The following is a 12,102-nucleotide window of genomic DNA, read 5'->3' as shown; positions in this document are numbered from 1 at the left end:
CCCCTTGCTGTACCTACCTACTGAGTTCCCATGCCCTGCAGCTGGAAGTGGGTAGATCACCCAGAACAAATCACAGGACACGTGCTCTCCTGCAAAAGGGAACTCACGCGACATAATTGATGGCACCAAAGGTATTGGTCAACAGCAACATGTGCTTTACATGCTTCAGCAGAGCATCAGGGTCCTTCCGTTTAACATAATCTGAGAAATCAAATTCTGTTTTGTAGCTTGTGGAAAACTGAACAGCAGCAAACTAGAAAAGGAAGGAAGAAATGACATTCAGTTATATATCCCTTTCCATTTGTCTGTTCCAAACTCTACTTCTTTTTTTTTTTTTTTTTTTTTTAGATGGAGTTTCGCTCTTGTTGCCCAGGCTGGAGTGCACTGGCACAATCTTGGCTCACTGCAACCTCTGCCTCCCGGGTTCCAGCGATTTTCATGCCTCAGCCTCCCAAGTAGCTGCGATTACAGGCACGTGCCACCACACCCGAATATTTGTGTGTGTGTGGTGTGTGTGTGTGTGTGTGTGTGTGTGTGTGTGTGTGTGTTTTTAGTAGAGACGGTGTTTCACCATATTGGCCAGGCTGGTCTCGAACTCCTCACCTCAGGTGATCCACCTGCCTCAGCCTCCCAAAGTGCTAGGATTACAGGCATGAGCCACCGTGCCCAGCCCCAAACTCTACTTCTTCTTTTTCAAAACAGGGTCTTGTTCTGTCTCCCAGGCTGGAGTGCACGGTCACAATCATAGCTCACTGCAGCCTCAGCCTCCCAGGCTCGAGCCATCCTCCCTCGTCAGCCTCCGAAGTAGCTGGGACTTCAGGCACGTGCCACCACACTTGGCTAGTTTTTATTTTTTGTAGAAATGGGGTCTTGCTATGTTGCCTAGGCTGGTCTCGAACTCCTGGCTTCAAGTGATCCTCCCGGCTAAGCCTCCCAATGTGCTGGGATTACAGGTGTGAGCCACTATGCCTGGCTCAATCTCTTCTTATGCAGGACCTGGGCAACCCAACTCCACATCCTTGCCTCAGATAATTCTTTTGAAAATGAGGCAATATACAAATAAACACAGAAATAAAATGAAATAAACCTTGCTCCCTCATGTAACACTGTGTGTTGAGCTCCTGTTTTCTGGGTCCACCTATGTCACTGATAGGGATGGGTTCCAGCAGCCATATTTCTGCTGAGTGACGCTGCTTAACTAGATACAGTTGGCTGGGCCGGGGATCAACACCTGACTGAAGCTACGCCAGCCAGAACCTCTTCTCTGAGAACTGGAAATTTGCAAAGGGAGGTGTTGGTTGAGGGGAAGGTAAAAAACCCTCTTGGAACTTTAACACATGAACTTAGGAGCTTTCCATAGGTCTATGTGGTCTAAAGGCGCTAAGGGAGCCAGTCTACGGAGACTGAGAAAAGAGAAGAAGGAAGCAAAGACGCAAAAAGAAACAGAAATGAGAACTAGCTGGGCACAGTGGCTCATGCCTGTAATCCCAGCACTTTGGGAGGCCAAGGCAGGAGGATCTCTTGAGAGATCCAGGAGTTTGGGACCAGTCTGGGCAACACAATGATAAACCATCTCTACAGAAAATTTAAAAATTAGCCACGCACAGTGGTGCACATGGGTAGTCCCAGCTAGTTGGGAGGATCATTTGAGCCCAGGAGTTTGAGGCTACAGTGAGCTATGATCGTGCCACCATGATTCCAGCCTTGGGGACACAGTGAGACCCTGTCTCAAAAAGAAAAAATGGCTGTGCACGGTGGCTCACGCCTGTAATCCCAGCACTTTGGGAGGCCAAGGTGGGCAGATCACAAGGTCAGGAGTTCAAGACCAGCCTGGCAACATGGTGAAACACCATCTCTACTAAAAATACAAAAATCAGCTGGGTGTAGTGGCAGTTGCCTGTAATACCAGCTACTTGGGAGGCTGAGGCAGGTGACTTGCTTGAACCTGGGAGGCAGTGAGTCGAGATTGTGCCATTGCACTCCAGCCTGGGCAACAAGAGCAAAACTCCATCTCAAAAAAAAAAAAAAAAAAAAAAAAAAAAAGGAAATGAGAACTAGAGAGACTCCTAGAAGCTTTCTACTCCCTGGTTCTTGTCCCTTCCAGAGGCCCAGTTATAGCCATGCCCATAGGCTCTGAGGATTCCACATACTAACATTTCCTTTCATGGTTTAAGTCAGTTCAGGTAGGCATCTATTGCATGCAACCAAGAATCCTAACTAACTTTTTTACCTGGTACGAAGTGTTGCTGAGTTTCTTCATCACATCCTTCATGAAGTCCAGAATTTTCTGAAATTCATCTGGCTGCAAGCTCATCGAACCATCAAACAGAAATACCAGGTCTACGTTGCCCTTGATACATTCTGCAGAAGCCAGACGCAAGGGACCCAGTGAAGCATCTCTGGTGTTTGACCTGCCCATGCTGGTTCTCTCTAGGGACAGCCATTTGGAGGTATTTTTACCCAATGAGTCCCCAGTTCCTTACCCTGAAAACCAGGGCGCCCCTGCAGCATGGGACCCTGCAGATTCTGGCGGAAGAGGTAACACAGGCCACTCAGATAGGTGTTCTGGTCACACGTTCGAGACAGCCCAGGGTCACAGGCCTAAAGAAAGCAAAGGCCAAAGATTTGGGTCTCCTATTTGCTATGTGTCTTTTGGGCAACATCAACCAAAACTAGGAACGTTCAGAGTCCTTGTCCTCTTTCTCACTTCCTCTATCCAACTGGTTACCAAGGCAAGGAATGTCCGCCTCCACAGTCTCTACTGTCCATCCCTCCCATCCTACCAATGCTCTATGCCAATGGATGCTCACCGCCTGTAGGACTGGTGGTGAGTCTGGACTCCTTATCTGGGCTTACACTGGGCACGACCCCACATTTCCAGGTCCATCTTCTCCTAGTCCCAATCTCTTTTTCTGTGTTCCAGCCAAATCAAATTATCAAGATTCCCAGAATATACAGTGCCTCTTTCTTTCTTTCTTTTTTTTTTTTTTTTTTGAGATGGAGTCTTCGCTCTATCGCCTAGGCTGGACTGCATGGCATGATCTCGGCTCACTGCAAGCTTCGCCTCCCGGGTTCACGCCATTCTCCTGCCTCAGCCTTCTGAGTAGCTGGGACTACAGGCACCCGCCACTACACCCGGCTAATTTTTTGTATTTTTAGCAGAGACGGGGTTTCACCGTGTTAGCCAGGATGGTCTTGATCTCCCAACCTCGTGATCTGCCTGCCTCGGCCTCCCAAAGTGCTGGGATTACAGGCATGAGCCACCGCGCCCGGCCATGCCTCTTTCTTTCTTTTTCCCTTCCTCTCCCCTCCCCTCCGCCCCCCACTTTCTTTCTTTTTCTTTCTTTCTTTTTTTTTTTTGACGGAGTCTCGCTTTGTCACCCAGTCTGGAGTGCAGTGGTGCGATCTTGGCTCACTGCAACCTCTGCTTCCCGGGTTCAAGTGATTCTCCTGCCTCAACCTCCTCAGTAGCTGGGACTACAGGTGCCCACCACCACGCCCAGTTAATTTTTGTACTTTTAGTAGAGACGGGGTTTCACCATATTGGCCAGGATGGTCTCAAACTCCTGACCTTGTGTCTGCCCACCTCGGCCTCCCAAAGTGCTGGGATTACAGGAGTGAGCCACTGCACCCAGCCTTTTCTTTCTTTCCTTCCTTCCTTCTCCTTCCTTCCTTCATCTTTCTTTTTCTTCTTCCTTCCTTCCTATCTCTCTCTCCTCCTCTCCCCTTCCTTCCTTCCCTCCCTCCCTCCGTCCTTTCTTTCTTTCCTTTCTTTGCTTTCTTGCTTTCTTTCCTTGCTTTCTTTCTTTTCAGGTCTCACTCCCATCACCCAGGCTGGAGTGCAGTGGGACAATCATGGCTCACTGCAGCCTCAACTTCCTGGGCTCAGGTGATTCTCCTACCTCAGCCTCCCAAATAGCTGGGACTACAGGCACACGCCACCATGCCTGGCTATTTTTTTTTTTTGTAGAGATGGCATTTTGCCATGTTGCCCAGGCCAGTCTTAAACTCCTAGGCTCAAGCGATCCACCTGTCTCGGCCTCCCAAAGTCATTTCTTTCATTTATGACCCTTTCCTGCCAGATTGCAATTTCTTCAAAGTCTGGGCTTGTATCATGGTCATCTTTTTGCTTTGTTTTGTTTTTGTTCTTTTTAGACACAGGTCTCACTCTGTCTCCCTGGCTGTAGTGTAGTGGTATGATCAAGCTCACTGCAGCCTTGAACTCCTGGCCTCAACTGATCCTCCCAAGTAGCTGGGACTACACGTGTGTGCCACCATGCCCAGCTAATGAAAAAAACATTTTTTTTTTTTTTGTAGGGACAGGATTGACCAGGCTGGTCTTGAACTCCTGGCCTCAAGCAATCCTCCAGCTTTGGCTTCCCAAAGTGCTGGGATTACAGATGTGAGCCACCAGCCCGGCCTCATCAACTTTGTATCTCACTCCCCTTCCCCTGTCAGAACCTCGCCCAATGCCTGGCTATAATAGTAGCTAAATAAACAAGCTCTACTTAAATACTGGATGAATATTTCACTCAGTCTTCTATCTCTCACACAGAAGGATGCTGGCTGGGATAAGTTGGAGAGAGCAATGAACTTGGGATCAAATGAGAATTTTATTCAAATCCTGACTCTACCACTTTGCAACCATGTGACCTTGGTCAAGTCTCTTAACCCTTTGGTCCTGTTTCCTCGTGTGTGAAATGTGTACACTGATCCCTATCTCACCGGAGTGTCTTGAGGGTTTAAAAGAAATAAAGTGACCAGGTGTGGTAGCTCATGCCTGTAATCCCAGCATTTTGGGAGGCCGAGGCGGGCAGATCACCTCAGGTCAGGAGTACGAGACCAGCCTGGCCAACATGGCGAAACCCCATCTCTACTAAAAATACAAAAATTAGCCAAGGCATGGTGGCACACGCCTGTAATCCCAGCTACTCCGGAGGCTGAGGCAGGAGAATCGTTTGAACTCAGGAGGCGGAGGTTGCAGTGAACTGAGATCATGCCACTGCACTCCAGCCTGGGTGACAAGAGTGAAACTCTGTCTCAAAAAAAAAAAAAAAAGCAGTGTTTCCTAAACTTTAGGCATTTGTGTAATACTTCACAATATCTGCCATATGAGCATACTATTATTTTCTTAATATTTTCCTTTAAATTTTTGTTTAACTTCAGCCTCTTCCTAAGCAATATGATGTAAGAAATTATAAATTTGATGTGCTTGTCATATATTTTTTTCTAATAAGCCATTAAATTTATAACCATGAAAACATTAAAAGTTTGTATACCACTAAAAATCATATTGCATATCAATGATCACAGATATTTCATATTTGGAAGAAAAGTGAGGTTAAGTTATTGAAAATAGCTGGCTCTGCTGGGTGTGGTGGCTCACACCTGTAATCCCAGCACTTTGGAAGCTGAGGCAGGAAGATTCTTTTTTTTTTTTTGAAACGGAATTTCACTCTGCCGCCCAGGCTGGAGTGCAGTGGCATGATCTCGGCTCACTGCAAGCTCCGCCTCCCGGGTTCACACCATTCTCCTGCCTCAGCCTCCTGCGTAGCTGGGACTACAGGCGCCCGCGACCATGCCCGGCTGATTTTTTGTGTTTTTAGTAGAGATGGGGGTTTCACCGTGTTAGCCAGGATGGTCTCGATCTCCTGACCTCGTGATCCGCCTGCCTCGGCCTCCCAAGTGCTGGGATTAGAGGCAGGAGGATTCTTGAGCTCAAGACCAGTCTGGGCAACATGGTGACACTCTCTGTCTACAAAAAATATAAAAATTAGCTGGGCATGGTAGCATGCGCCTATAGTCCCAGCTAATTGGGAGGCTGAGGTGGGAGGATTACTTGAGTGCAGGGAGGTTGAGGCTACAATGAGCTGTGATCACGCCACTGCACTCCAGCCTGGGCAATAGAATAATAGAATGAGACCTTGTCTCAAAAAAAAAAAAAAAAAAAAAAAAAAGGCTGGTTCATCATTGGTTCTCAATAAACACTAATTGACTCTGATGCCTTTGACCATCTGTGGGAACTTTTATCCACATTCTTCTTCTTTTCTTCTCTCATTACTTGAATTGAGCTTCACAGGCTCTGATAACACCACTGCACAAAATTCTTACCAAAATGCTTCCATCTGTGGGGTCTGTTGCCAAGGTCATTCCCAAGTACTTGGAGGTATAGTTGGAACCTGTAGGCACCAGAAGGTTGGTCTGGAGGAGCTCAGGCAGTCTAGGTGGGCTGGGGCCAGCCTCAGTTTCCCCAAGATCCCATTCCTCCCAGCTCACCCCCCAGTTACTCACCTCTCAGGGTGACTGGCAGGCAGTGTCCTGTGCCCGACTGGCACTGATAGAGGCTTCCTGTGCTGTTCCCCTCCCCTGGAGCTCCCACGATGACCCTGGTGAGAAATCTCACCTGTGAGAGGGAGTGGCCCAGATCTGTACCCATCTACTCCTGCCTGCTAAGGAGGTTCAGATCTCCTGTCTCATTTCTCCAAGCACTGCAGCCATTCCCCTTCAAGAAGGTGCCTCTGGCCAGGTGGGGTGGCTCATGCCTGTAACTTTCGCATGAGGCCAAAGTACTTTGGGAGGCCGATGTCGGTGGATCACCTGAGGTCAGGAACTTGAGACCAGCCTGGCCAATATGGTGAAACCCCGTCTCTACTAAAAATACAACAATTAGCCCAGCATGGTGGTGCATGCCTGTAATCCCATCTATTTGGGAGGCTGAGGCAGGAGAATGGCTTGAACCTGGGAGGCACAGATTGCAGAGAGGTGAGATCTAACCGTTGCACTACAGCCTGGGCGACAAGAGCGAAAACTCCCTCTCAAAAAAAAAAAAAAGAAAAAAAAAAAAAGAAGATGCCTCCGTCCTCATCTCTTCCCTACAGAATCGCAGAGAAATAATTCCAAATGCTAAAATCCTAGAAAATTAAGGTTCCTTTGCATTTACAGTCTCTGAGGCCCAGAGAATGATCCGCCAGAATGTCTCATGATAAGTACATTCATTCAATCCTTGATTCAAAAGCCATTCATGGCTTACCTACTGTGTGCTGGGCGGTGGCGTATCTAAGAAGGGTTAGGAAGAGAGAACAGACTCCTGGCTTCCAGGCGCTCGCAGGGGAGTAAGGGAGTGTCAGGAACCTACTGGGCAATGCGAAGTGTTTTGGGGCTGGGATCCTTCCCTGTTCTGCACTTCCATGGCCTCCCTGATCGCGTGTATCCCGCTTTTTGATCCCTCACTCCTGTCTCTGAGGATTCCCACCACAGGCTCCTCCAGACGGGAACCCCTGGAGAGCTGCCTCGTGCCACCGACTAGCCCAGGCGAGGGTCGGGGAGGCGGCCACCGCCTCGGGGGCTGCCCCAGGGCGGGCATCAGGAGGAGGACTTGTGGGGCACAGCTCACCCGTTTCCGACCTGCAGGACGCGGTATCCAAAGTGCCTCCCGGCGCGCGGTGGGGAGAAGCTCCGCGCGCCCCGCACGTCCAGGTTGTAGCTCGAGGCCGGCGCTGAGGAAGGCAAGGGTCGTCAGCTGCGACCGAGGGACCCCCGCCCCTGCACGTGCCCAGCAGGTGGCCGATCCCAGGCCCACCCGGATGTCGCTCCCCAGGCCACCCGCACCCTGCGCTTCCCCTCCAGGGCGTTGACTTCTGGGAATATGGAAGGAGCAACTCCCGGCCCCCCTAGAGCTCTGAAAGCTCTTCCCAGGGCCTGAGGATACAACTTCCCGTTTGGCCTCTCTGCAAAAAAGGAAGGATGAGAAGTTAGAGGCTCCAGAGAGAGGAGCAGACCCAAGGGGCCCCAAGGCAGAGGGTGACCAAGTTCTCAGGCAGAGGCCAAGATGGGGATGCCCCCGAGCCGGGTGCGCCTCTGCCACCCACTTCTCCTGCGGTCATGGGGCCCAGGCGCCTCCTCCCACAGTCTCAGATTGTAGCTCCCCTGATCCCTGGGGGGCTGCCTCCCCACCCCACCGGGCCAGTCTTTCGGAGCATCTGTAGATCCCAGCTCCCTTCCCCCTCAGTCAGCCTGCCCAGGCGCCCTGGCACACCCAGCTGTCCTTTCCGCCCTGCTTTCTCTCCCCGCATGGAGTTTAGTTCAGAGCATCCTAGAATGTCATGGAGGCTGGGCCTTCATTTGTTTAGATGAAGGGTGTGGGGCTGGAAAGGGGAAAGGACTTGCCTAAAACGCGCAGAGGTGGCCCCAGAACCCAGCACCCTCCTCCCAGCTCTAGCTACTCAATAACTATCTGCCTTTTGTTTGTTTGTTGTTTAAGAGACAGAGTCTTGCTCTGTCACCCAGGCTGGAGTGCATTGGCACGAGCTTGGCTCACTGCAACCTCTGCCTCATGGGATGAAATGATTCTCATGCCTCAGCCTCCCGAGTAGCTGGGATTACAGGCCTGTGCCACCACGCCAAGCTAATTTTATTGTATTTTTAGTAGAGACGAGGTTTTGCCATGTTGGCCAGTCTGTCTTAAATTCCTGACCTCAAGTAATCTGCCCACTTTAGCCTCCTAAAGTGCTGGGATTACAGGCGTGAGCCACCGCGCCTGGCCCTATCTGTCTTTTTAAAGAACCCACTGCCCCTTCTTATGCTCCCTTCTCTGTCTTTGCCTCCACCCCTTGCTTATTTGTTTCTTTTATTTCCCCACTCTCCCCTTTCTCCTTCCAAGATCCCTGGGCCCCATATCCCTAAGGCCAATCCCACTTTTAGGGGGCAGCTCCTTGTTTACTCCAGCTGCACCAAGCCCTGCAGTTTCTCTGGTCACAGACACATGTCCCTTCCCCTGCCTCCTCCCTTGCCTACCGAAGAAAAAGAACCCAGACAGCAGCGCCATGGCCATCACAGTGATGCAGGAATCCTTCATCCTTCCAGCACTCGAGGGACCTGTGGCCCCAGGGGCAGCGTCAGGAGGCCCGTGGGATTTGCTGGCAACCTAGACAGGGTGAAAGAGGAAAATGATCATGCCCTTTGGCCTCTTACAGTGGTACTTTCTCACAGAGGCAACAGGCTGGTGACACTGGCAGGCGGGGAGGGAGGTGTGCCTGCAGGAGTTGTGAAACCGCAGGGGTTCAGGGAGGAAGTGTAAGCAAGTTAGAGACATTTCCTGTGCCTGCTTGCATTTTCACATCATCCAAAAGCTGACAGCATGTCAGGGAGATGACAGTCTCCACTGCTGTCATGGTTTCTCACTAACATCCCAACTAAGGGCTCTGTAAAGCTCAGCAGAGGACTGGTCTAATAAACAGTGGCAAAATTACAATGGAATGCTATGCAGCAGTGAAAAAGAATGAGGGAAGGAAAAATAAAACGGGGAGAAAGTGAGAGCTTTCTCTGGACCTTGAAAGATGTACATGAACTACTATTAAAGAAAAGAGCAGATTACAGAACAGTGTATTTAACCCATTTTGGTTCTAAAATGTAAAATCTAAAGAATTGGAGGCTGGGTGCAGTGGCTCACTGGCTGTAATTCCAGCCCTTTGGGGCTTCAGGAGGTGGAGGTAAGAGCATCTCTTGAAGCCAGGAATCAAGACCAGCCTGGGCGACAAAGTGAAACTTTGTCTTTAAAAAAAAAAAAAATTGGAGAAAATATTTGCAAATCATATCTCTAATAAGGGATTTGTTTCCAGAATATATTTTTTAAAACTCTTATAATTCAACAATAAAAAGACAAATAACCAGTTTTTTTTGTTTTGTTTTAAATTTTTTGAGACAAGGTCTTGCTCTGTCACCCAAGCGAGAGTGCACTGGCGCGATCACAGCTCAATGCAACCTTGAACTCCCAGAATCAAGCGATCCTCCCACCTCTGCTCCTAAGTAGCTGAAACCACAGGTGCATGCCACCATGCCTGGCTAATTTTTCTTTTTTGAGATGGTTTTTCACTATGTTGCCCAGGCTGATCTTGAACTCCTATGCTCAAGTAATCCTCCTGCCTCGGCCTCCCAAAGTGCTGGGATTACAGGTGTGAGCCACTGTGCCCAGTTTTTTAAATTTATTTATTTTAGGCTAGTCAAGTGAAGCAGAGGGAGTGGAGAAGGAACAAAGATATTGGTAACTGGTTGTGCTCCATTAGTTTTAAACGGCCTGGTGCGGTGGCTCACACCTCTAATCCTAGCCCTGTGGGAGGCCGAGGCAGGTGGATCACCTGAGGTCAAGAGTTCGAGACCAGCCTGGCCAACATGGAGAAACCCCCGTCTCTACCAAAAATACAAAAATTAGCCAGGCGTGGTGGCGCATGCCTGTAATCCCAGCTACTTGAGAGGCTGAGGCAGAAGAATTGCTTGAACCCAGGAGATGGAGGTTGTAGTGAGCCAAGATCTCACCATTGCATTCCAGCCTGGGCGACAGAGTGAGACTTTGTCTCAAAAAAAAATTAGTTTTAAACACCACTGCACTCAGACCAACCTACCTAAGTTTCTAAATGAGCAAACGGTTTGAGTAGACATTTCTCCAATGACATATAAATGGCCAACATGCACATGAAATGATACTTAACACTATTAGTCATTAGAGAAATGCAAATCAAAACCACAGTGAGATACCCTTTACACCTACTTTGATGGTTAGAGTTTAAAGCAAAGGAAATAAGAGTTAGTGAAGATGTGAAGAAACTGGAAGCCTGGTGCACATTGCTGGCAGAAATGTAAAATGGCGTGACTGCTGTGCAAAACATTTTGATGGTTCTTTTTTTTTTTTTTTTTTTTTTTTTTTTTGAGAGAGGGTCTCACTCTTGCCTAGGCTGGAGTGGTGTGATCTCGGCTCACTGCAGCCTCAACCTCACGGGCTCGAGTCATTCTCCCACCTCAGCGTCCTGAGTAGCTGGAACTACAGGTGCGGGCCACCACACCTGACTACTTTTTTATTTTTTGTAGACATGGGGGTCTCTCTACCTTGCCCAGGCTGGTCTTGAATTTCTGAGCTCAAATTATTTGCCCGCCTCAGCCTCTCAAAGTGCTGGGATTGCAAACGTGAGCCACCGCACCTAGCCCAACAGTTCTTTAAAACAGTTAAACATAGGCCAGGCATGGTGGCTCATCCCTGTAATCCCAGCACTTTGGGAGGCTGACATGAGAACTCCTGAGGTCAGGAGTTTGAGACCAGCCTGGGCAACATGGCAAAATCCCGTCTCTACTAAAAGTACAAAAATTATCTGGGTGTGGTGGTGCGCCCTGTAGTCCCAGCTACTCGAGAGGCTGAGGCAGGAGAATTGCTTGAACCTGGGAGGCAGAGGTTGCAGTAAACTAAGATCACACCACTGTACTCCAGCCTGGGCAACAGAGTGAGACTCCGTCTCAGGAAACAAAAACAAAACGTTAAACATAGAGTTACTATATGACCCAGAAGTTCTCCTCCTAGGTATATACCCAAAAGAATTGAAATCATATGTTCGTACAAAAACTTATACATGTATGCTCATAGCAGTATGAATAATGACTCACACTAGCCCCAAACTGGAAACAGCCTACATGTCTATCAGCTGATAAATGGATAAACAAAATAAGGTATAGCCATGCAATGTAATATTATTTGCCTGTAAAAAAGAATCAGGCTGGCGATTCACACCTGTAGTCCCAGCACTTTGGGAGGCCAAGGCAGGCAAATCAGCTGAGGTCAGGAGTTCGAGACCAGCCTGGCCGACATGGTGAAACCCCGTCTCTACTAAAAATACAAAAACTAGCCGGGTATGGTGGCACACGCCTGTAATTCCAGCTACTCGGGAGGCTGAGGCAGGAAAATCTCTTGAACCCGGGAGACAGAGGTTGCAGTGAGCGAAGATCGTGCCACTGCACTCCTGCCTGGGTGACAGAGTGAGACTCCATCTCAAAAAAAAAAAAAAAGTAGAGTACTGGTACATGCTACAATATGAGTAAGCCTTGAAAATATGCTTAGTGAAAGAAGCCAGCAAAAAAAAAAGTCACATATAGTCTGACTCCGTTAAGTGAAATATCCAGAACGCAAATCTAGAGAGACAGAAAGCAAGTTGGTGCTTGCTGGGGAAATGGAGGCTAGGGAGCGAGTACTAATGGGCATAGGGTTTCATTTTAGGTGATGAAATGTTCTGGAAATAGACTGTGGTAATGATTGCACAATTTTGTGAATCTATTTAAAAATCA

General features: G+C 48.8%; 1 protein-coding gene across 5 annotated transcripts in view, besides 8 other annotated features; it reads right to left on the bottom strand.

The window, feature by feature from the left end:
* ITGAL (integrin subunit alpha L) overlaps positions 1-8,950 on the bottom strand; it is a 50,444-nt gene extending 41,494 nt beyond the window's left edge. For 3 of the 5 annotated variants that reach the window (XR_950794.2, NM_002209.3, XM_005255313.1), the window contains exons 1-7: positions 8,794-8,950; positions 7,394-7,496; positions 6,292-6,386; positions 6,112-6,179; positions 2,484-2,601; positions 2,231-2,361; positions 108-253 (exon numbers count right to left, since the gene is read on the bottom strand). Coding sequence is in view for 4 of the 5 variants with exons in the window: in NM_002209.3 (NP_002200.2) it covers positions 108-253; positions 2,231-2,361; positions 2,484-2,601; positions 6,112-6,179; positions 6,292-6,386; positions 7,394-7,496; positions 8,794-8,854 (722 nt within the window). In the remaining variant the exon portion in view is untranslated. The remainder of the gene's footprint in view (positions 1-107; positions 254-2,230; positions 2,362-2,483; positions 2,602-6,111; positions 6,180-6,291; positions 6,387-7,393; positions 7,497-8,793) is intronic. The other 2 variants (XM_006721044.2, NM_001114380.2) reach the window with 1 other exon arrangement.
* Positions 8,720-8,809: an enhancer, noted in NCBI's record as "active region_10707". NCBI's record gives its function as "activates an Ori minimal core promoter by ATAC-STARR-seq in GM12878 lymphoblastoid cells {active_cell/tissue: GM12878}" and the evidence as "EXISTENCE:reporter gene assay evidence [ECO:0000049][PMID:35858748]".
* Positions 8,720-9,355: a biological region, named in NCBI's record as "CRISPRi-FlowFISH-validated ITGAL regulatory element GRCh37_chr16:30483658-30484232". NCBI's record gives its function as "regulatory_interactions: ITGAL | SEPHS2".
* Positions 8,781-9,302: a transcriptional cis regulatory region, noted in NCBI's record as "chr16:30483711-30484232 region (GRCh37/hg19 assembly coordinates) targeted for CRISPR interference". NCBI's record gives its function as "negatively regulates SEPHS2 gene expression in LPS-stimulated THP-1 monocytic cells {active_cell/tissue: THP-1(+LPS for 4hr)}" and the evidence as "EXISTENCE:mutant phenotype evidence [ECO:0000015][PMID:33828297]".
* Positions 8,781-9,330: a transcriptional cis regulatory region, noted in NCBI's record as "chr16:30483683-30484232 region (GRCh37/hg19 assembly coordinates) targeted for CRISPR interference". NCBI's record gives its function as "negatively regulates SEPHS2 gene expression in THP-1 monocytic cells {active_cell/tissue: THP-1}" and the evidence as "EXISTENCE:mutant phenotype evidence [ECO:0000015][PMID:33828297]".
* Positions 8,781-9,340: a transcriptional cis regulatory region, noted in NCBI's record as "chr16:30483673-30484232 region (GRCh37/hg19 assembly coordinates) targeted for CRISPR interference". NCBI's record gives its function as "positively regulates ITGAL gene expression in anti-CD3- and PMA-stimulated Jurkat T cells {active_cell/tissue: Jurkat(+anti-CD3 and PMA for 4hr)}" and the evidence as "EXISTENCE:mutant phenotype evidence [ECO:0000015][PMID:33828297]".
* Positions 8,781-9,343: a transcriptional cis regulatory region, noted in NCBI's record as "chr16:30483670-30484232 region (GRCh37/hg19 assembly coordinates) targeted for CRISPR interference". NCBI's record gives its function as "positively regulates ITGAL and SEPHS2 gene expression in Jurkat T cells {active_cell/tissue: Jurkat}" and the evidence as "EXISTENCE:mutant phenotype evidence [ECO:0000015][PMID:33828297]".
* Positions 8,781-9,355: a transcriptional cis regulatory region, noted in NCBI's record as "chr16:30483658-30484232 region (GRCh37/hg19 assembly coordinates) targeted for CRISPR interference". NCBI's record gives its function as "positively regulates ITGAL gene expression in GM12878 lymphoblastoid cells {active_cell/tissue: GM12878}" and the evidence as "EXISTENCE:mutant phenotype evidence [ECO:0000015][PMID:33828297]".
* Positions 9,888-10,097: an enhancer, noted in NCBI's record as "active region_10706". NCBI's record gives its function as "activates an Ori minimal core promoter by ATAC-STARR-seq in GM12878 lymphoblastoid cells {active_cell/tissue: GM12878}" and the evidence as "EXISTENCE:reporter gene assay evidence [ECO:0000049][PMID:35858748]".

This window comes from Homo sapiens, chromosome 16 (assembly GCF_000001405.40).
Source record: "Homo sapiens chromosome 16, GRCh38.p14 Primary Assembly".
NCBI lineage: Eukaryota > Metazoa > Chordata > Mammalia > Primates > Hominidae > Homo > Homo sapiens.
The sequence above is the reverse complement of the archived record's forward strand: the minus strand, read 5'-3'. Positions and strand labels throughout refer to the sequence as shown.